The sequence below is a fragment of the Homo sapiens genome, chromosome X, assembly GCF_000001405.40.
Source record: "Homo sapiens chromosome X, GRCh38.p14 Primary Assembly".
In the NCBI taxonomy this organism is placed as follows: domain Eukaryota; kingdom Metazoa; phylum Chordata; class Mammalia; order Primates; family Hominidae; genus Homo; species Homo sapiens.
In genome coordinates, this window is record NC_000023.11 from 41,454,480 (window position 1) to 41,480,781 (window position 26,302).

Genomic DNA, 26,302 nt, shown 5'->3' on the forward strand with positions numbered 1-26,302 from the left:
TTTTTTGTATTTTCAGTAGAGACGGGGTTCACCATATTGGCCAGGCTGGTCTTGAACTCCTTACCTTGTGATCCACCTGCCTCAGCCTCCCAAAGTGCTGGGATTACAGGTGTGAGCCACTGCGCCCGGCTGATCCTTTTTTTTTAAGATGGGCTCTCACTCTGTCACCTAGGCTGGAGCGCAGTGGCACAGGCACAGCTCACTGTAGCCTCGACCTCCTTGGCTCAAGCAATCCTCCCACCTCAGCCTTCCAAGTAGCTAGGAGTACAGGTGTGCATCACCACGCCTGGCTAATTTTTGTATTTTTTGTAGAGATGAGGTCTTGCCATGTTGCCCAGGCTCATCCTGAACTTCCGGGCTCAAGTGATCTTCCCACCTTGGCTTCCCAAAGTGCTGGGATCACAGGCATGAGCCACTGCACCTGGCCTCCACATGGTCTTTGAAGGATTTGTGCCTTAGTGAGGTTTAATCCTGTGACAAGAATGGTTCATAAGAGCCCACAACTAGCTTGGGCCAGTGTTTTCACAGCTGTGTCAAGCAACGAGACACATCTGTCCCCCATAACTGTCTACAAATTACAGATGAGGAAACTGAGAGACAGAGGTTGTCTGAGGTTTTTGTTTTTTTGTTTTTTTTTTTCTTTTGAGACAGAGTCTCACTCTGTTGCCCAGGCTGGAGTAAAGTGTTGCAATCTCGGCTCACTACAACCTCCGCCTCCTGGATTCAAGTGATTCTCCTGCCTCAGCCTCCTGAGTAGCTGGGATTACAGGCGCCCACCACCATGCCCGGCTAATTTTTTGTGTTTTTAGTGGAGACAGGGTTTCACCGTGTTGGTCAGGCTGGTCTCGAACTCCTGACCTCAGGTGATCTGCCTGCCTCGGCCTCCCAAAGTGCTGGGATTACAGGCATGAGTCACTGCGCCCAGCCTGAGGATTTTTTTTTTTTTTAAAGCAGTATGACAGAACAGGGATGAGAGTGTCCTCAGAGTTTATGAGAGAACTAGGTCAAGAGGCTGTGCCCTCGGGGTGAGTATTTTAAGACCGAATGTTCTGGAAAGCCTTGCATGTGAATCCCGGGGTGATGACAGAGGCTGGCTGAGTAGGGACCTGTCATGAGCCCAGGGCAGTCCTGCTACATTTATTTCTCATCTTCCCCTCCCTACCTCAGACTGGGAAAAAAAAGCTCTGAAGCCTTTTTCCGATTTCCAGATGGATCCTTCCCCAAAATACCGGTGCAAGAAGAGAAATTGCTAAGCAACTGCCAAATGAGTTTCACCTTCTCTTTTCACAAACTGTAATCTTTATTTTTAATGTGGTAAATGTTTTTCTGGCCAAGGTATTCCCATGGAACCCAGCTCTGAATAGCCAAGGAGATTCGTTTTTGGAATGATCACTGCTGATTCTGGGAGAGGCTATTTTTTCATTTGGATTCAGCAAAACCAGGGATGTCCTAAACAGTGTTTGATTTGATGTTATGTATTTCCTGTCAGCGAATGGGGAGCAGTTTCCTTTTGGTTGAGGGGTGCTGCATGGTCCTGAATTTGAGTTGTTTTCTCTGCCAAGGTGAAGAGGTCACTGGCTGGGTGCGGTGGCTCATGCCTGTAATCCCAGCACTTTGGGAGGCTGAGGAGAGCGGATCACTTGACTAGGCGGTTCAAGACCAGCCTGATCAACATGGTGGAACCCCGTTTCTACTAAAAATACAAAAATTAGTTGGGCGTGATGGTGCGTGCCAGTAGTCCCAGCTACTTGGGAGACTAGGCAGGAGAATCGCTTGAACCCGGGAGGCAGAGGTTGCAGTGAGCTGAGATCCTGCCATTGCATCACGTGGTTCTTCAGGAAAAGGAGGAGAGGCCAGGAAGAGGGAGATGGTTCTAGAGAGATTAAGGGAGCCTGTCTGATTCAGGATATTGCTCAGGACTCTTGTTGCAAAGCATCTTCTCTAGGTCATTGAAGGCAAGAAGGAGTTTACTTAGGGACATTAGGTATTCTCAGGCTTCCTACTAGAGGCCACACTGCCCAGAGCAATGCCTAAACCAGGAAGTGCACAGCTCCAGCAAAAATCCTGTGGCCACTGCCATTGGTGGCCATACCTGGCAGCTCCAGGGAATCATGTTGGGTACTGGGTGCCAGAAATGCAAGCCTAAAAGCCTCTGCCATCATTCTGGCCAGACATTGGTTTCTGCCTGGTGCCTACTTCTGAATCCAAGTCTTACTGGGTGTTTGATTGACAAAGCTATGTCACATGCCTGAGCCCTAACTGTAAAGGGAGTTGAGAAAGAGAGTTTCCGGCTTCCATCTTGAGGAGGCAGGACGTATGATGTTGGAAATTCTCTAAATGTAGAAAGAGTGCTTAAAAGGTACTCAGGAGCCAGAACACATGCTATGGTCTGAATGTTTCTGACCCCCATTCCCCACCCAATTCATATATTGAACCCAACTCCCCAAGATGATGGTATTAGGAGGTGGCGCCTTTAGGAGGGGATTAGGTCCTGAGAGTGGAGCCCTCATGAATGGAATTAGTGCCCTCATAAAAGAGGCCTCAGAGGCCAGGTGTGGTGGTTCATGCCTGTAATCCCAGCACTTTGGGAGGCTGAGGCGGGTGGATCACCTGAGCTCAGGAGTTCACACCAGCATGGGCAACATGGTGAAACCCCATCTCTATTAAAAATACAAAATTACCTGGGCATGGTGGCGCATGCCTGTAATCCCAGCTACTCGGGAGGCTGAGGCAGGAGAATCGCTTGAACCCGGGAGGCGGAGGTTGCAGTGAGCCGAGATCGTGTCATTGCACTCCAGGCTTGGGCAACAAGAACGAAACTCCATCTCAAAAAAAAAAAAAAAAAAAGGCCTCAGAGAGCTCCCTTGCCCTTTCTACCACATGAGAACACAGTGAGAAGACAACTGTCTATGAACCAAGAAGTGGGCCCTTGGCAGACGCAGAATCTGCCTTGCTCTTGGATTTGCCAGCCTCCAGAACTGTGAGAAATCAATTTCTGTTGTTTGTAAGCCACCGAGTCTACGGTAGTGTGTTATGGCAGCCTGAACTGATTAAGACAATACACCAGCTTCTTCACCTTGCCCTTGGCTCCTGCTCCCCCATAACTTTGACCTGCACATGGCTTTGGTACAAACTCCAGCCCCAAAGCTAGACAGGTTGGTGCTCACATCACCTTACTGACTAGTTATTCACTGCCTATTCCATTTTCACGGAGAAAGAATGAATCTGATTAGCTCTGTTTAGGTCAAAGTGTTCAACTGCGGTGCAAACAGCTGTGGTTGGGAGGAGATGGCAGAGACACATGGGGCTCTGAGTAGGGTATTTTTTTCTTAGAGGCAGTGGCTGGCAACACCTGCTGTCAGACCGTGGAAAATGAAAGCTACAAGGGCTCTCAAAGACCAGGATGTGCAGTGTCTTAGTCTATTTCGTGCTGCTGTAACAATACTAGAGACTGGGCAATTTATAAAGAACAGATATTTATATCTTACATTTCTGGAGGTTGGGAAGTCCAGGATTGAGGGGCTCACATCAAGTAAAAGCCTTCCTGCGGCGCCATCCCATGGTGGAAGGTGGAAGTGTGAGAGAGCAAGATGGGGCTGAACCTGCTTTTATTACAAATCTACTTTTGCAATAATAACATTAATTCCTTCATGAGAGCAGAGGCCTCACGACCTAACCACCTCTTAAAGAGCCCACCTCTCAACACTACTGCAGTGGGGTTTAAGTCTCCAACACGTGAACTTAGGAGGACATATTCAAACCATAGTATGCAGTTTCTTCAGTTTACAGTTAAAGCAATGAAATCTCAGAAAGGCTAGGTGTGTGGGGTGGGAGATAGTACAGTATAGTGAAAAACAAACAAAGGTTGGCATCATTTAACCGTCCTGAACCTCAGTTTCCTCTTTCATGAGAAGAGAAGAATAATCCTTATCTTGCATGGCTGTCATATTAAATGGAATAATGTCTATGGCAAGCTTAGCCCTGAGCAAATTCTTTTTGAGACGGAGTCTCACTCTATTGCCCAGGCTGGAGTGCAGTTGTATGATCTTGGCTCACTGCAGCCTCTGCCACTCGGGTTCAAGTGATTCTCCTACCTCAGCCCCTCTCCCCCTGAGTAGCTGGGACTACAGGTGCGTGCCACCATGCCCAGCTAATTTTTGTATTTTTAGTAGAGATGGGGTTTCACCATGTTGGCCAGGCTGGTCTCAAACTCCTGACCTCAAGTGATCTACCCACCTCAGCCTCCCAAAGTGCTGGGATTACAGGCATGAGCCACCACACCCGGCCCTGAGCAAATTCTTATTAAAAGCTGGTTGTTGGCCAGGCGTAGTGGCTCACGCCTGTAATCCCAGCACTTTGGGAGACCAAAGTGGGCAGATCACTTAAGGTCAGGAGTTCGAGACCAGCCTGGCCAACATGGTGAAACCCCGCCTCTACCAAAAATACACAAAAAATTAGCCAGGTGTGGTGGCAGGTGCCTGTAGTCCCAGCTACTTGGGAGGCTGAGGCAGGAGAATCACTTGAACCCGGCAGGTGGAGGTTGCAGTGAGCTGAGATGGCGCCACTGCACTCCAGCCTGGGCAACAGAGCGAGACTCCGTCTCAAACAACAACAACAACAACAACAAAGTTCGTTGTTTTAAGAGCAAAAGAAACCCATACAATTTAATTAATTTGAGTAGCATTATACATGTTCATATTACCCAGATAACATATGTTACCACAGTACCTAAACTATGTCCTGTAGATATTTGCTGTCATTTGGGGGTGCTTCCATCTGTAGGTCTTGTTCTGTTGAGCTGCCCCGAGCCACTCCCAGCAGCTCTGTTCTAGGACTGCACGTAAATGTCATCATATAGGCTGGGTGTGGTGGCTTATGCCTGTAATCCCAGCACTTTGGGAGGCCGAGGCAGGTGGATCTCCTGAGGTCAGGAGTTCGAGACCAGCCTGACCAACATGGTGAAACTCCATCTCTACTAAAAATACAAAAATTATCTGGGTGTGGTGGTGGGCGCCTGTAATCCCAGCTACTCGGGAGGCTGAGGCAGAAGAATCACTTGAACCCAGGAGGCGGAGGTTGCAGTGAGCCGAGATCATGCCACTGCACTCCAGGCTGGGCAACAGAGCAAGACTCTGTCTTGGGGAAAAAAAAAGAAAAGAAAAAAGAAAACAAAAAGTCATCGTATAGTATGTTTCTTTTGTGTCAAGTTTCTGTTAACATGTTTTTATTGCTTGTATCAGTAGTTTGTTCCTTTTATTGCTGAGTAGTATTCTACTGTACAAATAAATTATAATTTATTTCTCCATTCTACTGTTGGGTAATTTCTACTTTTTATCAATTATAAATTAGCCTCTATGAACACTCTTCTATAGTCTTTTTGTGGACTTTTTTTTTTTTTTTCATTTCTCTTGGGCAAATACCTAGGAGTGGAATTGCTGAGTCATATGATAGGCATATATTTAGCTTTAATAGATATTGCCAAAGTTTTACAAAGCTATTGAGCTATTTTACACTCCCATTGACTATGTGAAAGAATCTAGTTGTTCTCCATCCTCATCAACATATGGGGTTATCAGTCTTTTGAATTTTAGCAGAAAATCTCACTGCAGTTTTAATTTGCATTTCTCTGATGGCTAATGATGCTGAGCACCTTTTCATGTGCTTAATGGCCATGTAATATATTCTTTTTCTTTTTTTTTTTTTTTTGAGACAAGGTTTCACTTTGTCACCCAGGCTGGAGTGCGGTGGTGCCATCTTAGCTCACTGCAGCCTCTGCCTCCTGGGTTCAAGCGATTCTCCTGCCTCAGCCTCTTGAGTAGCTGGGATTACAGGCACCCGCTACCACATCCGGCTAATTTTTGTATTTTTAGTAGAGACGGGGTTTCGCCATGTTGGCGGGGCTGTTCTTGAACCCCTGACCTCAAGTGATCTGCCCACCTCGGCCTCCCAAAGAAGTGTTGGGATTCCAGGCGTGAGCCACCGCACCCAGCCTATTCTTTTGTTAAGCATTCAAGTCTTTTATCCATTTTTTAAAAATAAATTTTAAAAAATTTTATTCTTTTTCTTTGCTGGCAAAGTGAAAGCAATCACCGATTTTTACTTAGTTGTCTTTTCATTATTCATTTGTAGGAGTTATTTTTACATTCTGTATAGTCATATATATAACACATACATACATACATACAATTCATATTTAAAGTGTATCCTCACGAAACCATCACCTCAATCAAGATAATGAACATATCCATCACCCCCAAGAATCATGCCCCATTATAATCTCTCCCTCCTGCCCTTCTTTGCCTCCCTACTCATCCCCAGGCAACCCCTGATCTTTCTGTTACTATAGATTAGTTTACAGTTTCTAGAATTTTATGTAAGCGGAGTCACACAGTATGTATTTTTTTTTTTTTTTTTTTTTTTTTTTTTTGGTCTGGCTCCTTTCACTCAGCAGAATTATCTATCACGTGATTCATCCATGTTGCAGGTATCAATAGTCATTCCTTTTTTTTTTGGCAATTTTAACATTATTTTTTTCTCTTTCATTTTTTAAAATTTCCATAGGTTTTTGGGGAACAGGAGGTATTTGGTTACATGAGTAAGTTCTTTAGTGGTGATTTGTGATATTTTGGTGCAATCATCACCTGAGCAACAAACACTGAACCCAAATTATAGTCTTTTATCCCTCACCCCCTCCCACCCTTTCCCTCTGAGTCCCCAAAATCCATTGTATCATTCTCATGCCTTTGCATCCTTATAGCTTAGCTCCCACTTATGAGTGAGAATGCATGATATTTGGTTTTCCATTCCTGAGTTACTTCACTTAGAATAATAGTCTCCAGTCCCATCCAGGTTGCTGCGAATGCCATTAATTTATTCCTTTTTATGGCTGAGTAATATTCCGTCATATATATATATATATATATATACACCACAGTTTCTTTATCCACTTGTTAACTGATGGGCATTTGGGGTGGTTCCATATTTTTGCAATTGCGAATTGTGCTGCTATAAACGTGCGTGCAAGGATCTTTTTCATATAATGACTTCTTTTCCTCTGAGTAGATACCCAGTAGTGGGATTGCTGGATCAAATGGTAGTTCTACTTTTAGTTCTTTAAGGGATCTCCACACTGTTTTCCATAGTGGTTGTAGTAGTTTACATTCCCACCAGCAGTGTAGAAGTGTTCCCTGTTCACCACATCCATGCCAGCATCTATTATTTTTTGATTTTTTGATTATGGCCATTCTTGCAGGAGTAAGGTGGTTTTGCGTTGTGGTTTTGATTTGCATTTCTCTGATCATTAATGATGTTGAGCATTTTTTCTTTTTTCTTTTTTTCCTGAGACACAGTCTCACTCTGTCGTCCAGGCTGGAGTGCAGTGGTGCGATCTCGGCTCACTGCAACCTCTGCCTCCTGGGTTCAAGCAATTCTCCTGCCTCAGCCTCCTGAGTAGCTGGGATTACAGGCACGGGCCACCACGCCTGGCTAATTTTTGTATTTTTAGTAGAGACGGGGTTTCACTATATTGGCCAGGCTAGTCTTGAACTCCTGACCTCGTGATCCACCCGCCTCGGCCTCCCAAAGTGCTGGGATTACAGGCATGAGCCTCCGTGCCTGGCCAAGCATTTTTTCATGTTTCTTGGCCATTTGTATATCTTCTTTTGTGAATTATCCAATAGTCATTGCTTTTTATTGCTGAGTAATATTCCACTGTATGGCTATATCATTTGTTTGCCCATTCAACTCTTGATGGACGTTTGCACTGTTTCTAGTTTTGGGCTATTAAGAATAAAGCTGCCAAAGTCTTTGTATAGACATACGCTTTTATTTCCCTAGGAGTAGAATGGCTGGATTATAAGGTAGGCATATGTTTAACTTTTAAAGAAACAACCTCATTGTTTCCAATTTGGAAGTCCCATTTTACATTCCACCGGCAGTGTAAGACAGTCCCACCTGTTCCACATGTTCTCCAACACTTGGCACCTGTTTTAGTCCCTTCAGGCTATTGTATCAAAGTTCCATAAACTGGGTGGCTTATAAGCAACAGAAATGTATTTATCACAATTCTGGAGGCTGGAAGTCCAAGATTGGGGTGCCAGCATGGTTGGGTTCTGGTGATGGCTCTTTCCTGGGCTGCAGGCTGCTGTCTTCTTATAGTATGGCCAGTCTTTCTAATTTTAGCCATTCTAATAGGTGGCTACTTTAATTTGTATCTCCCTAACAACTAATGATGTTGAGCATCTTTTCATGTGCTTATTTATCTTCTGTCTATCTTTTTTTGGTGAAATGTTTCTGCAAATATTTTGCCCATTTATTAATTGGATTATTTTCTTATTGAGTTTTGGGAGTTCTTCATATATTTTAAATACAAGTCTTTAATGAGATATGTGACTTACAAATATTTTCTCACAGTCTATTGCCCGTCTTTTCATTTACTTTGCAGTGTCTTTGAAAGAGAAGAAGTTTTAAATTTTGATGAAGTCTAGTTTATTATTATTATTTTTAATTTTATGGTTATTGCTTTTTCTTCTTCTCTCTCTCTTTTTTTTTGTCCCAAGAAATCTTCACCTACCTCTAGGTAACAAAGATACTCTCCTGTGTTATCTCCACGAAGCTTTGTAAGTTTTAGCTTTTACATTTAGGTTTACGGTCCATCTAAAATGAATTTTGCGTATGGTGTGAGGTAGGTGTTGAGATTCTTTTTACTTTCCAGGGATTACACTATGCATCCTTGTCGTGGTCTACCTTGAATTAATCTTGTATTGCTTCAAGTATAATGTAAGATCCTTATGAGAGTACAATTCAATTCACCTCCCTTCTCATCCTTCATGTAATTGTTGTCATAGTTTTCATTTACGTGTTTTAAACTCCACAATACATTGTTATTTTTGTTTTAAATAGTCACTTGTCTTTTAAGCAATTAAGGTGAGAAATAGTAGTCTCTTTTTTTTTTTTTTTCTGAGACGGAGTTTTGCTCTTGTTGCCCAGGCTGGAGTGCAGTGGCGCAATCTCGGCTCACTGCAACCTCTGCCTCCTGGGTTCAAGCGATTCTCCTGCCTCAGCCTCCCGAGTGGCTGGGACTACAGGTGTGCGCCACCACACCCAGCTAATTTTTGTATTTTTAGTAGAGACGGGGTTTCACCATGTTGGCCAGGATAGTCTAGATCTCTTGACCTAGTGATCTGCCCGCCTCGGCCTCCCAACGTGCTGGGATTACAGGCATGAGCCACCACGTCCAGCCCAATGCCTGGCTAATTTTTTGTATTTTTAGTAGAGACAGGGTCTCATCATGTTGGCCAGGCTGGTCTTGAACTCCTGACCTCAGGTGATCCACCCCCCCATCGGCCTCCCAAAGTGCTGGGATTACAGGGGTGAGCCACCGTGCCGGCCAGTAGTCTTTTATATTTAGTAACATACTTACCATTTCCATCGCTCTTTATTCCTTCTTGTAGACCTAATTTTCATCTACCAGCATTTTCTTTCAGACTGAAGAATGTCTTCATTTCCTGTGCAGAAGATCTGCTGGAGAAGAATTTTCTCAGATTTTGTTTACCTGAAAATATCTCTATTGCCCTTCATTTCTGAAGATATTTTTACTGGAGAGAGAGAGAATTCTAGGTTGCCAAATTTTGCTTTTCATTCAGCGCTTAAAGAGCACTAATCCCATTCTTTTTTTTTTTTTTTAAAACAAGGTCTGGCTCTGTGGCCCAGGCAGGAATTCAGTGGCATGATCTCCACTTACTGCAACCTCTGTCTCCTGGGCTTAAGCGATCCTCCCACCTCAGCCTCCCAAGTAGCTGGGATTACAGGCACATGCCACCACACATAGTTAATTTTTGTGTAGAGACAGGGTTTTGCCATGTTGCCCAGGCTGGTCTCAAACTCCTGGGCTCAAGCGATCCACCCACCTCGGCCTCCAAAAGTGCTAGGATTACAGGCATGGGCCACTGTGCCCAGCCACTAATCCCATTCTTGATCATCCACTCTCCTGACCTAAGTACCTCTCAAAGTCTCCATCTCCTAATACCATCACTTTGGGGGTTAGGATTTCAACACATAAATTTGGAAGGCGGACATAAACATTCAGACCATAACTGTGATTATCTTTTACTGTTTTTTACTCTATGTAATATGTCTTTTTGTTTTGGATACTTTTAAGAATTTTCTATCTTTGGCTATGATGGGCCGTGCGTGTGTGTGTGTGTGTGTGTGTGTGTTTTATGTTACTTGGGGCTTGCTAAGCTTCTTGTTTTAATCAAATTTGGAAACTGTCATCAACTATCTTTTAGCCATATTCTGTATCTTCTCTCCTCTGAGACTCCACATACATGTATATTAGTCTAATTGCTTGATATTGTTCCACAGGTCATTGAGGCTCTGATAATTTTTCCCCCAGTCTTCTTTTTATTTTCTCTCTGTGCTTCACTTTGGTTAATAACTACTCGCCTCTCTTCAAGTTTATGAAGATTTTCTTCTGCAGTGTCTAATCTGCTATTTATCTTATTCAATAATTTTTAAAATTTCAGCTATTGTTTCAGTACTAAGATTTCTACTGGGTTCCTTTTTAGAGTTTCCATACCTCTTCTAAAATTCAGATTCCCCATGTCTTTGCCCATGATCCCTATCTTTTCCTGTAAATTCCTTAACATATTTATAGCAAATCTTTGCTTGGTAATTCCAACATGTGGGCTGTCTGAATCTGCTTCTGCTGTTTTTTTTTTCCTTCTTGACAAGTGTCATGTTTGCTGCTTCTTCACATGTCTACTAGTATTTGGTTGTACACTGGATACTGCGGAGCCAGTGGTAGAAACTCTGGATTCTCTTGTCTTCTGTTGAAGAGTGTAGAATTTTGTTCTGGCATTCAGTTAAATTACTGGCAGATCACCTTGTTCCCTGAAAGCCTTGGTTTTAGGCTTTTTAAGGGTAGGACTACTTGAGTTTTGCCTTTAGTCCTGGGAAATGGTCTTCACTCCTGAGGCATGGTCCTTTGGGGTTTCAGTGGAAAGCTCAAGGTATTTGACAAGCTCCTCTAACTTGGCAGACCTTGAACTCTTTTTTTTTTTTTTTTAAGATAGAGCCTTGCTCTGTTGCCCAGGCTGGAGTGCAGTGGCATGATCTCAGCTCACTGCAACCTCCACCTGTAGTCCCAGCTACCTGCCCCCCGAGTAGCTGGGACTACAGGTGCCTGTCACCACACCCAGCTATTTTTTTTTTTTTTTTGTATTTTTAGTAAAGATGAGGTTTTACCATGTTGGCTGGTCTCGAACTCCTGACCTCAAGTGATCTGCCTGCCTCGCCTTCCCAAAGTGCTGGGATTACAGGCGTGAACCACCACGCCCAGCTGGGACCTTGAACTCTTAAACTGCCTCCTGTCACTGGGCAATTGCTAAAATCTCTGTTTAGGTCTTTTGGTGTTTAGTTCTTGCTTTCCCCTTGGGCTCCCTGGAGTCATCCCACACATATGCCCTTCAGAACTCAGCCAAGGACATAAGGGGAACCTGTATACTAACTTTGTGGCTCCTCTTTTGAGGCTCCCTTTTTCCATGTTTTCCCTCCTCAATTTCCAGCCACTGTGGCAGCTATAAATGCTGACCTCTAAGCTGTCAGCTTGCTTTCTGCTTTAGCTTCACTCACCATGTGCTGTGTGGACTTGAAATTGCCCTGAGAGAGCCGGGCCCAGAGGCTCACGCCTGTGATCCCAGCACTTTGGGAGGCCGAGGCAGGAGGATCTCTTGAGGTCAGGAGTTCAAGACCAGCCTCGGCAACATAGTGATACCTTGTCTACATAAAATTAGCTGGGCATGGTGGTACATACTTGTAGTCCCAGCTACTTGGGAGGCTGAGGTGGGAGGATTACCCAAGCCCAGGGAGGTCAAGACTGTGGTGAACCGAGATTGCACCACCGCACTCCAGCCTGGGCAACGGAGAGAAGAGACCCTGTCTAAAAAAATAAAAAATAAAAAAAAAATCCTGAGAGGAAAAATCAGTTAGATGCACATCTCACCTAGTTTGTGTCTCTTCTTTGAAGGGTTGCATCGACTCTGATTGCCTGTTTTGGTTGTTCCCTGGTGCTTTAAAACAATTTTTTTTTTTTTTTGAGACAGAGTTTCGCTCTTGTAGCCCAGGCTGGAGTGTAATGGCGTGAACCTGGCTCACTGCAACCTCTGCCTCCCAGGTTCAAGCAATTTTCCTGCCTCAGCCTCTCGAGTAGCTGGGATTACAGGTGCCCGCCACCATGCCTGGCTAATTTTTTTTTTTTTTTGTAGTTTTAGTAGAGACAGGGTTTCGCCATGTTGGCCAGACTGGTCTTTTTTTTTTTTTTTTTTTTTTTTTGAGATGAATTTTCGCTCTTGTTGCCCAGGCTGGAGTGCAATGGTGTGATCTTGGCTCACTGCAACCTCCGCCTCACGAGTTCAAGAGATTTGCTTGCTTCAGCCTCCTAAGTAGCTGGGATTACAGGTGCCTGCCACCATGCCAGGCTAATTTTTGTTTGTTTGTAGTTTTAGTAGAGGCAGGGTTTCGCCATGTTGGCCAGACTGGTCTCGAACTCCTGACCTCCGGTGATCCACCCACCTCGGCCTCCCAAAGTGCTGGGATTACAGGTGTGAGCCACCACGCCCAGCTAAAACAATTTTTTTAAAAAAATTTTGTCCAGAGTCTACCATAGATAGCAGTGGGAATGTTAGTCTGATAGAAGCTACTCTGCCATGATTGCAGTAGAACTCATCCACATATATTATTATTAAAAGAATTTTTTTTTGGTGCCTTGCTTTTCTGGCTCACTAAACATGTACTTAGTCTTTATACTGAACAAACCAATACAGTTTTGCTGTCAGTTCTGAGAATTTACTTGACTTAATTTATTATTATTATTATTTATTATTTATTATTTTAGATGGAGTCTCACTGTGTCACTCAGGCTGGAGTACAGTGGCATGATCTTGGCTCACTGCAACCTCTGCCTCCCGGGTTCAAGCGATTCTTGTGCGTCAGCCTCCTGAGTAGCTGGGATTACAGGCGTGTGCCACTGCGTCTGGCTAATTTTTGTATTTTTAGTAGAGACGGGGTTTCACCATGTTGGCCAGGCTGGTCTCGAACTCCTGACCTCAGGTGATCTGTCTGCCTCTGCCTCCCAAAGTGCTGGAATTACAGTCATGAGCCACCGCGCCTGGAGACTTAATTTATTATTTTTTGGGAGGACAAGGTCTTGCTCTGTTGTCCAGGCTGGAGTTCAGTGGTCCAATCATAGCTCACTGTAATCTTGAACTCCTGGGCTCAAGTAATCTTCCTGCCTCAGCCTCCTGAGTAGCTGGGACTACAGGTGCACACCACTGTGCATGGCTAATTTTTTTATTTTTTATAGAGATAGGGGTCTCACTATATTGCCCAGGCTGGTCTGAAACTCCTGGGCTCAAGCGATCCTCCTGCCATAGCCTCACAAAGTGCTGGGATTACAGGTGTGAGCCACTGTACCCGGCCTTGACTTAATTTAAATGTCACTAAATAATCCAGTAAATTAGTTATTGCTCCTAATGGCTATCAAAGTTTCAGAGGCTAAAAATAAGTCTCTAATAGTGACAATTTCTTGAGTGTTTAATTAAAGTTTAAACTCTAATCTATTTTTTGAAATAGGTAACATAGCCACATGGTTCAAAATGTTAAAGGCTAAAAGCAGTGTACATTGAGAAGCTTCAGTCTCACTCTTCTCATATATGTTTTTTAAACATAGGCAGCTACCTTTCTGATCTCTTGCATTATACAAATTGGTTGTATCCTGACTGTTGTAATCCCAGGAGTTCCTTGACAAATAATTTTTTTTTTTTTTTTTTTGAGACAGAGTCTCGCTCTGTTGCCTGGGCTGGAGTGCAGTAGTGTGATCTCAGCTCACTGCAACCTCTGCCTCCCTGGTTCAAGTGATTCTTATGCCTCAGCCTCCAGAGTAGCTGGGACTACAGGCACGCGCCACCACACCTGGCTAATTTTTGTATTTTTAGTAGAGATGGGGTTTCACCATGTTGGCCAGGCTGGTCTTGAACTTCTGACTCCAGTGATCTGCACGCCTTGGCCTCCCAAAGTGCTGGGATTGCAGGCATGAGCACCATGCCTGGCCAGCAAACAATTTTTAAAATAAATGGAGGAATCCTTGCATAGGAAGGCATCATTTAATTCTACAAACGTTTATTGAGCCATACAGTGCGCCTGGAACAGTGTTAGCTATTGTGGGGTATAAACATGAGTCATATGACTGAGTGTACTTTCCTTAATTAGAAAGAAGAGAGTAGAATGAAGGACTATTTGTAAAGAAACCTGATGCCTGATACTTGACCTAGTTGGAAGGGTTGATAGAAAAAGGTTCTGCCTCTTTCCAGCTGAGGCCTGCAGTTAAGGTTATATTCTTGGCCCTGTCTCCCTAGCAGGGTGTCTCCCCAGCCCAGCAGCAGCCCTGTTTACAGCCAGGCTCAGCACAGAGCCCAAGAACCTTGCTGGAAGCTTGGTGTCTATCTCAGTTTTTAGGGAGATGGAAAAGCTAAGTCAGGCATCCTCAACATCAGAATGTTGAAGTGGCTCCAGTTTACAACTGAGGGGCTGTTCAAAGGCCTGAGTGCTCTTCAGCTGTGTCTGAGAGGGCTGGATCCACTTCTCAGCTGCTTAGAAAACATGGAGTGTCCATAACAGATGACCTGAAAAGACACTGGAAACCAAGCAGAGCTACAGAGGTGGCAGCAAGTGTATTCTACATATCCCTTTTGGGGCCACATCTTCAGGTTCCTGCAGGGACTTGGGTAGGCAAGGCCGGGTAATGTGTACAGAATGGGAGGATGTGAGTGGCAGGCCAGGGGTATTTGCTAGGAATTCGGGAGTACTGATGAGGAGGGGTAGAAATTATGAATCGGTGGGCATATTTACATCTGGGTACCGTTTGCTCTCCTACAGGAATTTCAGATAGAGCTGCCCCTGACCATGAAATAAACATTGTGCATCTACCATGCTGTCTTTTCCATTGGTCCTCAAGATTGGGCTTGGGGCCTCTGGCTTCCACAGGGTAGCAGGCCACGATGACATTCTACTTTTTTTTTTTTTTTTTGAGACGGAGTCTCACTCTGTCACCCAGGCTAGAGTGTAGTGGTGCAATCTCGGCTCACTGCAACCTTTGCCTCCTGGGTTCAAGCAATTCTCCTGCTTCAGCCTCCCGAGTAGCTGGGATTATAGGTGCATGCCACCACACCCGGCTAATTTTTGTACTTTTAGTAGAGACAGGGTTTCACCATGTTGGCCAGGCTAGTCTCGAACACCTGACCTTAGGTGATCCACCCGCCTCTGCCTCCCAAAGTGCTGGGATTACAGGCATGAGCCACTGTGCCCAGCCTCATGACATTCTACTTTGCTGCAGGTGGCAAGCCTACTTGTGGGCTTTTGAAGTCTTTATCTGATCCTCCATTCAAATGCTCAAAATGAAAGTAATTTATAAGCAACTTACTCTCCCATGATGATGTAAAAAAGTTTCTAGCAGGCAAGGACTGGTGAATGGAACTTAACTGCAGCGTGTCTATAATTAATTCTTTTGAGATGTGCAAGAAGGTCATTGATTTTATTTAGTATGCTGTCCTTTTGGCTTAATTTTAGTGACTGTTACAGAAAAAAAAAATTGATTGACAGGCTTTTCTTTCATTCCCAATCTCCTGCTCCCTAATTCTCCCTCCTCCTTGAGGCATAATTTACTCAATGGGGGTGTTCAGGAATTGAATTCTTCTGGTGAGAGGAACTATAGTAGCACCAACAGAAATATAACACAAGCCGCATGTTTAAAAATTCTGAGTAGTCACATTAAAAAACGTAAAAAGAAACAGTTAACATTAATTTTAATATTTTATTTAACCCAATATATCTAAAATACCATTGTAACATGTAATCAGTATAAAAATCATTGATGCAGCTGGGTGTGGTGGCTCACACCTGTAATCCCAGCACTTTGGGAGGCCAAGGTGGGCGGATCAACTGAGGTCAGGAGTTTGAGACCAGCCTGGCCAATATGGCAAAACCCTATCTCTACTAAAAATACAAAAATTAGCCGGGTGTGGTGGCACATGCCTGTAATCCCAGCTACTCGGGTGGCTGAGGCAGAAGAATCACTTGAACCTGGGAGGCGGAGGTTGCAGTGGGCCGAGATTAGCGCCATTGCACTCCAGCCTGGCGACAGAGTGAGGACTCTGTCTCAAAAAAAAAAAAAAAAAAATCATTGATGCAGTATTTTACTCTTTTTAAGTCTTTGAAATCTGGTGTGTCTTCTATATGCATAGCACATCTCAATTTGGGTTGGCCACATTTCAAATGCTCAGTAGCCCACGGGGCTAGTGGCTACTGTATTGGGCAGCGCAGATCTAGGGTGAAGGCCACAGCGATGTCCTCGGAGATCCCCCAGGGCCTGCAGACAACAAACCCTCAAGGCCACATTCTAGTGTTCCCCGACCAAACTGAGGGTGGGGCTGCTATTTCTCACGGCCCAATAATGAGATGCAGATGAACTGGGAAAGGAGGGAGTTTTTTATTTCTGTAACTGGTTACAGGGAAAAGGCCTGGAAAATATCTCTAGACCAACTCAAAATTACGAACTTTTCCAGAGCTTATATACCTTCTTTTTTTGGAGGGGGGGGATGGAGTTTCACTCTTTTCACCCAGGCTGGAGTGCAATGGCACTATCTCAGCTCACTGCAACCTCCGCTTTCTGGGTTCAAGCAATTCTCCTGCCTCAGCCTTCTGAGCAGTTGGGATTACAGGTGCCCACCACCATGCCCGGCTAATTTTTGTATTTTTAGTAGAGACGGGGTTTCACCATGTTGGCCAGGCTAGTCTTTAACTCCTCACCTCAGGTGATCTGCCCACCTCGGCCTCTCGAAGTGTTGGGATTACAGGCGTGAGCCACCGCACCTGGCCCAGAGTTTATATACCTTCTAAGCTACATGTCTACGTGTAAGTGTGCATTCATCTAAAGACATGTGATTAACTTCTTTTAATCTATAACTAAGGTCTGAGTCCTGAAGACCTTCCTCTGGAGCCTCAGTAAATTTACTTAATCTAGATGGGTCCAGGTGCTGGGGTGATTACCCTTATTTTGTCTCCTGCTAAATCATGGAGGTTTGGGGAGTTCCTCCAGACCCCCAATAAACTTGTCTGTGGAGGTCTGGGGAGTTTAGACCCCCAGTAAAACTTGTTTAATCCTAAATGGGTCCTGTTAAGAATTATTTCATAATCTTGTCATGCTTTAAGGCCCAGGAAAGGCTTGGGCAAAACTCTTGGTGGGCTTTTGTTACCTTCCAGCCTTTGTATAAGGGCACTGGTGTATATATATATATGTATTTTTTTTTTTTTTTCCCCTGGGGTAACTGGTTCTTTAGCAAGAGGGGAGCACTGGGGAGTATCTTCAGGGTGGCTGAACTTTGCAACCTCTTTAATAAACAACTTCCCCCTGTGCAGTTTGTCCTCCTTTATCACCACACTCCGATGCCCTGGTATTCAGGCAATGGCATCAGGCCCATATTTCCGTAGAGTTCAGAGTTCTGTGAGGTAGAGCATTCCTTCCAATGGGATCTTAGAATTCTTAGAGTTGCAGAATTTTACTGACTAGACTCAGGAGGTCTCAGGAGTCCAGACTTCCTTAAAGCTTGGCTCAAAATTCCAAGGGAGCTCATAACTCCATGGAGCCCAGAGTTCCTGGCTCGGGAACATTGGGAGGCCTGGGATACAGTGGCTTAGCCTCAAGCAAAAAGGTGAACAATATCTTTATGGCTTGAAGGTATACGAAATAATGTCACTACATCGGAGCAGCGCCTCTGCTTGCACACCTATGGGAGTCTGTAGCTGTGACACATAGAAGTTGGCCACATCCATGTCGGTGGCTCCAAAGTGGGTGGCCACACGCACACCCTCGTGCAATGTGAAGCTCACCTGATGACTCACCATGGCCAGCAGGCCGCGGAGGTAACGATCCCGAAGGGCGGCTCGGGCCCGCTGCTTCTGGGATTCCAAGGATTCTTGAGCTATGGAACACTCCTGGATTTCAAGAACCTCTGACTACAGGGGGGCTCTGCGTCCATCAGGGGCAAAGCCACGGCTGAGACCATCAGGGCCTCGGGGCAGCCGGAGCACAGGCACAGGAAAGGTCACTGGAGCCTGCATTGTCTTGGCGAGGTCCGTGGCTACTGTGCGCGCCCCCACTTCCGCCGGCACCCCGCAGTAGAGGCCAGGGCAGGCCCCGAGCCGCGGAGCCTGGGTTCCGCCTGCGCCACCGCCACCAACCCACGTGTCACGGGCAAATTTATTTATTTATTTATTTATTTTTGATATGGAGTCTCACTCTGTCGCCCAGGCTAGAGTGCTGTGGCGTGATCTCAGCTCACTGGAACCTCCGCCTCCCGGGTTCAAGGGATTCTCGTGCTTCAGCCTCCCAAGTAGGTGGGATTACAGGAGCCCGTCACCACGCCCGGCTAATTTTTGTATTTTTAGTAGAGACGGAGTTTCACCATGTTGCTCAGGCTGGTGTGAACTCCTGAGCTCAGGTGATCTGCCCGCCTCGGCCTCCCAAAGTGCTGGGATTACAGGCGTGAGCCACTGCGACCGGTCAGCTTTTAATATTTAACTTAACCATTCAGTCAGTGCCGAAACAGTAGTTATGGAGGCCTGCATTAGTGAGTCCTGGCCTGCCACACTAGGAGCACACAAGTGGTGGTACAGGCAGGAGGGAGTTTAGAACGGGGTCAGCTGCAGGGATTGCAGCTGGGTTTTGCTGATTAAGGTAACCGGAAAGCAAAGGAGCGGGTGTCTTAGGTGGATAAACCCGTGTGAGGCCGCGGAGGTGGGAAGAGGCCATGTGCCTGACACAAGATAACTCGGTGGAGGGCCTGCATCCTGCTGCCCGGACAGGCAGGATTTTTCCTGGGGTGACCTTTGGCTGACGGTTGCTCCTTTTTTCTCTTTTCTCCTCCTTCCCGACTCCCCACCACCCTGTCCCCGCAGCGGTGGTCCTCGGCCTGCCCAGCGCCTGGGCCGTGGGGGCCTGCGCCCGCGCTTGTCCCGCCGCCTGCGCCTGCAGCACCGTGGAGCGCGGCTGCTCGGTGCGCTGCGACCGCGCGGGCCTCCTGCGGGTGCCGGCCGAGCTCCCGTGCGAGGCGGTCTCCATCGACCTGGACCGGAACGGCCTGCGCTTCCTGGGCGAGCGAGCCTTCGGCACGCTGCCGTCCTTGCGCCGCCTGTCGCTGCGCCACAACAACCTGTCCTTCATCACGCCCGGCGCCTTCAAGGGCCTGCCGCGCCTGGCTGAGCTGCGCCTGGCGCACAACGGCGACCTGCGCTACCTGCACGCGCGCACCTTCGCGGCGCTCAGCCGCCTGCGCCGCCTAGACCTAGCAGCCTGCCGCCTCTTCAGCGTGCCCGAGCGCCTCCTGGCCGAACTGCCGGCCCTGCGCGAACTCGCCGCCTTCGACAACCTGTTCCGCCGCGTGCCGGGCGCGCTGCGCGGCCTGGCCAACCTGACGCACGCGCACCTGGAGCGCGGCCGCATCGAGGCGGTGGCCTCCAGCTCGCTGCAGGGCCTGCGCCGCCTGCGCTCGCTCAGCCTGCAGGCCAACCGCGTCCGTGCCGTGCACGCTGGCGCCTTCGGGGACTGTGGCGTCCTGGAGCATCTGCTGCTCAACGACAACCTGCTGGCCGAGCTCCCGGCCGACGCCTTCCGCGGCCTGCGGCGCCTGCGCACGCTCAACCTGGGTGGCAACGCGCTGGACCGCGTGGCGCGCGCCTGGTTCGCTGACCTGGCCGAGCTCGAGCTGCTCTACCTGGACCGCAACAGCATCGCCTTCGTGGAGGAGGGCGCCTTCCAGAACCTCTCGGGTCTCCTCGCGCTGCACCTCAACGGCAACCGCCTCACCGTGCTCGCCTGGGTCGCCTTCCAGCCCGGCTTCTTCCTGGGCCGCCTCTTCCTCTTCCGCAACCCGTGGTGCTGCGACTGCCGTCTGGAGTGGCTGAGGGACTGGATGGAGGGCTCCGGACGTGTCACCGACGTGCCGTGCGCCTCCCCGGGCTCCGTGGCCGGCCTGGACCTCAGCCAGGTGACCTTCGGGCGCTCCTCCGATGGCCTCTGTGTGGACCCCGAGGAGCTGAACCTCACCACGTCCAGTCCAGGCCCGTCCCCAGAACCAGCGGCCACCACCGTGAGCAGGTTCAGCAGCCTCCTCTCCAAGCTGCTGGCCCCGAGGGTCCCGGTGGAGGAGGCGGCCAACACCACTGGGGGGCTGGCCAACGCCTCCCTGTCCGACAGCCTCTCCTCCCGTGGGGTGGGAGGCGCGGGCCGGCAGCCCTGGTTTCTCCTCGCCTCTTGTCTCCTGCCCAGCGTGGCCCAGCACGTGGTGTTTGGCCTGCAGATGGACTGACCTGGCCAGAGGGGGGAAAGTTTGCTTAACTGGGCTTGAGTGTGTTTGTGGTAAGGGGAGAGGAGCCGGAATGGAGGGCAGAGGTGAAAATCCCAGTGGAGGGTGGAAGGAACCGTTTGCCTCCAGAGATGGCCCCAGGGAGAACACAGGGACGTGCCACTCGAGGGGGAGGATGGTATGGATTTCTGCTTTTGTCACACGGGCATCCATTGGAAAAGAGAAGCAAGAATGAACGTGGGCCCTCGGGTGGGAAGACTAGGAATCGGAAGCTTCTAGGGCTTCACATCCCTTCCCCTCCCCTCCCCTTCCCCTCATCTTCCAGGCAACAGTGCCTGCAAGGCCTGAATTAGAGAGACTTCCATTGGCTAAGTAGTTAAGAGCCGTCCCATTTCTCCTGGCGGGGTAACCCATTACACCGAAGTCCTTTGTTTTCTACCACAATCCTCCTCCTCCTCTCCAGGGGCCTGGAAACACTAGGATTCAGGAAGGTAGGCAGGACGTGAGAGAAGGGAGATGGGAGAGAGATTTAAGACAAAGGGTGGCGGTGGTTCCTGGGGTCTGAGATGTGTTAGGAGGCGTTTAAAACAAAGATCCAGTTCATTTACTCCACAGTTATTCCCAGGGCTGGCCCTAGCCACAAAGGAACTTTAGGGCAGGGTAGGGAAAAAAGGGGCAGCAGGGGGTGTGTTTGTGGACAAATAAATTTGTAAAGTCCGAGGATTAAAAAAAAAAAAAGGTTAAACCGGTTTCTCTACTGCTGGACTTTTCAGAGTCTTTCATATGCTAACATTCATTGTGAATCTCCCAAGAGGCCACACAATCCTTTTTTCTTAGCGTTTTGTGGGATGAATGTCCGGAAGACACAGAGAGCGGGGCAGGGAGGCTCCAGCTTGGATGATTCCATTAGGTGTGGAAATTATTATGGGCTGCACACTTCGGGGCTGACTAACGGCCAAGAGGGAAGGAGGCAGCCAGTAGCTGGGAAAGGGGATTTAGAGATTTCTCAGGTTGGGGGTTGGCCAACTATATTCCCCCCGGCTTGACTGCAAGGGCAAAGGCCAGCCAGGCCTGCAGCAAGCATGCATGGCTCTGGGTGTGCTGTGCCTGAGGGCGGGGCTACCAAATCCCACCTAGGGGCCCTACCAAACCCAGCTTTTCTCAGGGTTGCAGTGGGAACAAACGGTGTTTGTTCTGTCTGCCTCAGGATCAGCAGCTCGTTTAGCATATGCTGCAAGAATAAGGCTTTGCAGGCTGAGTTGCAAATGCTGGCTCTGCTGGTCTGCAGTGGCCATCTCTGTGGTTTGCAGCAGAACCGTCCTAAGCTGGTCACAACAGGCAGGGATTCCTGACAGACTGTAAGGCAGTCAAGTCAAGAAAAGTGCATATGCTGCTCACCACTTACACAAGAACCCAAGCTGTTCTCTGCACTGCATGCTATGACTGCATTTGTCAACATTCTGGAAATTGTCATCTTTTTAATGTCCTCTCTATATTTGAAGAGGTGGGTTTTGAAAACCCACATGAAGGCCAGGCGCGGTGGCTCACACCTGTAATCCCAGCACTTTGGGAGGCTGAGGCAGGTGGATCACGAGGTCAGGAGCTCGAGACCAGCCTGGCCAACAAAGTGAAACCCCATCTCTACTAAAAATACAAAAATTAGCCAGGCATGGTGGCACGCACCTGTAGTCCCAGCTACTTGGGAGCCTGAGGCAGGAGACTCGCTTGAACCTGGGAGGCGGAGGTTGTGGTGAGCCGAGATTGCGCCACTGCACTCCAGCCTGGGCAACAGAGCAAGACTCTGTCTTGAAAAAAAAAAAAAGAAAACCCAAATGAATTCGGGGTGCACCAAGCTGTCACTTCTTTTTTTTTGAGACGGAGTTTCATTCTTGTTGCCCAGGTTGGAGTGCAGTGGCGCGATCTTGGCTCACCACAACCTCCGCCTCCTGGGTTCAAGCGATTCTCCTGCCTCAGCCTCCCGAGTAGCCGGGATTACAGGCACGTGCCACCACGCCCGGCTAATTTTGTATTTTTAGTAGAGACAGGGTTTCTCCATGTTGATCAGGCTTGTCTCGAACTCCTGACCTCAGGAGATCCGCCTGCCTCGGCCTCCCAAACTGCTGGGATTACAGGCGTGAGCCCCCACGCCCGGCCAAGCAGTCACTTCTTCATGGGGACACTCCTGTGTCTCTGTGTAATACTAAGTATTGGAAGTGTCGCACAAAGTACTGCTGAGGACAGGTGTATTCAAATGTTTCAACCATTAATGGTCATTAACTCAATGGGTTTTAAATTCTTAAAAAACCAGACCGGGCACAGTGGCTCATGGCTGTAATCCCAGCACTTTGGGAAGCTGAGCCAGGAGGATCGCTTGAACCCAGTAGTTTGACACCAGTGTGGGCAACATGGTGAGACCCCATCTCTACAAAAGAATAAAAAATTAGTTTGGCATGGTGTCGAGCACCAATAGTCCCAGCTATGCAGGAGACTGAGATGGGAGGATGTCTTGAGCCCAGGAAGTTGAGGCTGCAGTGAACTGTGTTCATACCACTGCACTCCAGCCTGGGTGACAGAGCAAGGCCCTGTCTGGAAAAAAAAAAAACAAAAACCAGCGTTTAAAAAAAAATTATAGAATAGAAAAGTCACAGAGTATCACGTAATATTATAAGACTAAGTATTGTTTTGTGAAACCTTTTTTTTTTTGAGACGGAGTCTCGCTGTGTTGCCCAGGCTGGAGTGCGGTGGCGTGATCTCGGCTCGCTGCAACCTCCGCTTCCCGGGTTCAAGCGATTCTACTGCCTCAGCCTCCCGAGTAGCCGGGACTACAGGCACCCCCCACCATGCCCGGCTAATTTTTGTAATTTTAGTACAGACGGGGTTTCATTGTGTTGGCCAGGCTGGTCTCGAACTCCTGATCTTGTGATTCACCCGCCTCGGCCTCCCAAAGTGCTGAGATTATCAGGCGTGAACCACCGCGCCCGACAGAACTTTTTATTTAATATATATGTATTTGTTCAAATTATACTTGTATGTGTGTGTGTACTGGGTTCCTGTGTACAATTTATATTTTATTGTGGGTTATGTTAAAATTTGAAAGCTACTGATCTGGAGCATGTGTGATTTTTTATTTTGAAAAATTTCAAACCTACAGAAAAGTTGCAAGAATGAACACTTTGGCCATTTACCTAGGTTTCCCAATTGTTAACATTTTACCATATTTGCTTTTTCTCTCTCTCTTTCCGTATTATTATTATTTCTTACTAACAGTTTTAGTTGCAAATATCATGACCTTTTGAGCCAGGAGTTTGAGGTTACAGTGAGCTATGATTGCGCCACTGTGCTCCAGCCTGGGGAACAGAACAAAACCTCTTCTCTTCAAAAAAAAAAAAAAAGATTCACTCTATATTGAAATTTTAAGAGTTATCAAAATTATTAAGCAGTCATGTTTTTTTCCTATGGGCGAAAAATGAGGTTTCTAGGTCATGGCTTGCTTTGGTTTGGTCACAATACTCAAAACTAGAAACCTGTTGATTGATTGCAATATTTCAAAGTGAATTTGTTCTCCAAATGTCTTACTTTTGAAAAGTGACAAGCAGATGAGGGCAGAATTGTTGTTTGCTTAAACCGAGTGTTGTGACCATGGTAACTGAGTGAAGATCACGAGAATCCTGGAGACCAGATCTCTGCATTGAGGTATCCATGGAAGTCCGTGGCTGACATGCAGCCTGGGTTACTGAGGAACAAGGTGCTGCCTTGAGAGGAATGTCCTTCCTTTCATTTGGAGCGGGTTTGTGAGAGTCAGCCTCAAAATGCTGCTCCGGTTCTGCCTGAGTGGTTAGATGGCCAGCTTTTTAATGGACATTTGCTTGGCTGAATGTTTTTGAAGGAGTATCAGCATTAAAATAGCCTCCAGGGAAACAGGTTTTTATAGAGCTACTCAGCCCAGTAGAATTCTGGGAACGTGGGAGCTACTTACTGCCAAACAGACCCAGAGTTGCTTGGAATGAGTTGCCAGTGAATTTGTGGCCGTTATGAGCTCTCGTGAGAAAACAGGGAGTGAAGACTTTCCATTTTGAGTTCATTTAGTCTCTCACCCCATCACTGGCTACATGGTACCTTAAGTAAATAGTAGGTACTATAGATTCTGTTAAGCAAAACTATGTGTACCAATCAGGATGGGCCATATTATGCTGCGGTAACAGATAACTCCCAAAGCTCAGTGGCTTACGGAGGTTTATTTCTTGCTCATGCTACCTGTCCATTGTAGGATCATTAGCAGGGCTCTGCTCATTGTAGCTATTCAGGGACCCAGGCTGACAAAGGGTACACCATCTTAGGACATTGTTATCCAAACACGAGGCTCTAGGGTTTGCCACAGAAGAGGAGAGCTTGGGAGAGTTGTGCATCACTCTTTTTTTTTTTTTTTTTTTTTTTTGAGACGGAGTCTCGCTCTGTCACCCAGGCTGGAGTGCAGTGGCACGATATCGGCCCACTGCAAGCTTCACCTCCCGGGTTCATGCCATTCTCCTGCCTCAGCCTCCTGAGTAGCTGGGACTACAGGCGCCCGCCACCACGCCTGGCTAATTTTTTGTATTTTTAGTAGAGGTGGGGTTTCACCGTGTTAGCCAGGATGGTCTCGATCTCTTGACCTTGTAATCTGCCCACCTTGGCCTCCCAAAGTGCTGGGATTACAGGCGTGAGCCACCGTGCCCGGCCTTTTTTTTTTTTTTTTTTGATACGGAGTCTCGCTCTGTCGCCCAGACTGGAGTGCAATGGTGCCATCTTGGCTCACTGCAACCTCCCCATCCTGGGTTCAAGCAATTCTCCCACCTCAGCCTCCCAAGTAGCTGGGAGGGCACCCGCCATCATGCCCAGCTAATTTTTGTGTTTTTGTAGAGACGGGGTTTCACCATGTTGGCCAGGCTGGTCTTGTACTCCTGACCTCAAGTGATCTGCCCACCTCAGCCTTCCAAAGTGCTGGGATTACAGGTGTGAGCCACTGCACCCGCCCTGTGCATCCCTCTTAAATGCTTCCACTCAGATGTGACACACATTGCTGCTCAAATCTCATTGACCAAAAAGGACACATAGCCAGACTTAATTTCACTGAGAAATGGAAGCATGATTCCCCTATGTACCCAGGAGAGGGGAACTGGGAATATCAGTGAACACTAGTAATGCTCCAGGCTGGGTGTGGTGGCTCATGCCTGTAACCCCAGCACTTCAGGAGGCTGAGGCAGGAGATCACTTGAGGCCAGGCATTTTAGACTAGCCTGGGCAACACAGTGAGACCCTGTCTGTACAAAAAAAACAAACAAAAAAATTAGCCAGGTGTGGTGACACATGCTTGTAGTCCCAGCTACTAGGGAGGCTGGGGTGGGAGGATCACTTGAGTCCAGAAGTTGGAGGCTGCAGTGAGCTATGATAATGTTAGGGTAGGTAGTCAGGCATGAGCAGAGCAGAAGAGGGCTCTCCCCCCACCAGGAATGGCAGGTGGCCATCAAGTGATGGGCAGGCAGTTGGTAAAGTGTGGCGCTCAAATAATAATTTGTCACAGCTGGTGTCAGGGAAAGGCAGGCTGCCAATAGATAGAAAACACCTGAAACTGGTGATCAGCAGCTTCCCGATAAGATCTCAGGAGTTGGCCGAGTGGACTCAAACATGCACACAAAATGGCAAAATGGTGGAGTTTAACCTTCCTCTAGGAACACTGGATTGGTAAGGGAAAAATGCCTCAAGTGAGCATGCATGCGACTCCAGTAAATGCACTGTGCGTACAGCCCCTCCCAAGTGCTGGCAGGCCACTGCGCATGCAGGCAGCTGACCCCAAGGGAAGACTCAGGGGAGAAGTAATGCAACTCCGGAAGCATGCCAACATAGAAAAC

The 26,302-nt window shown here is 47.4% G+C and overlaps 1 protein-coding gene and 1 pseudogene across 2 annotated transcripts in view, besides 1 other annotated feature; one reads left to right on the top strand and one right to left on the bottom strand.

The window, feature by feature from the left end:
- The window catches only part of NYX (nyctalopin), a 28,310-nt gene extending 7,137 nt beyond the window's left edge, over positions 1-21,173 (top strand). For both annotated transcript variants that reach the window (NM_022567.3, NM_001378477.3), the window contains one exon: positions 19,012-21,173. In NM_022567.3, the coding sequence (NP_072089.2) occupies positions 19,012-20,420 (1,409 nt within the window). In that variant the 3' untranslated portion in view covers positions 20,421-21,173. The remainder of the gene's footprint in view (positions 1-19,011) is intronic.
- On the bottom strand, positions 17,482-18,269 carry GEMIN7P1 (GEMIN7 pseudogene 1; annotated as a pseudogene).
- Positions 20,677-21,268: an enhancer, noted in NCBI's record as "NANOG-H3K27ac-H3K4me1 hESC enhancer chrX:41334409-41335000 (GRCh37/hg19 assembly coordinates)". NCBI's record gives its function as "activates a minimal SCP1, AML or CMV promoter by ChIP-STARR-seq in naive and primed H9 embryonic stem cells {active_cell/tissue: H9 hESC(naive and primed)}" and the evidence as "EXISTENCE:reporter gene assay evidence [ECO:0000049][PMID:30033119]".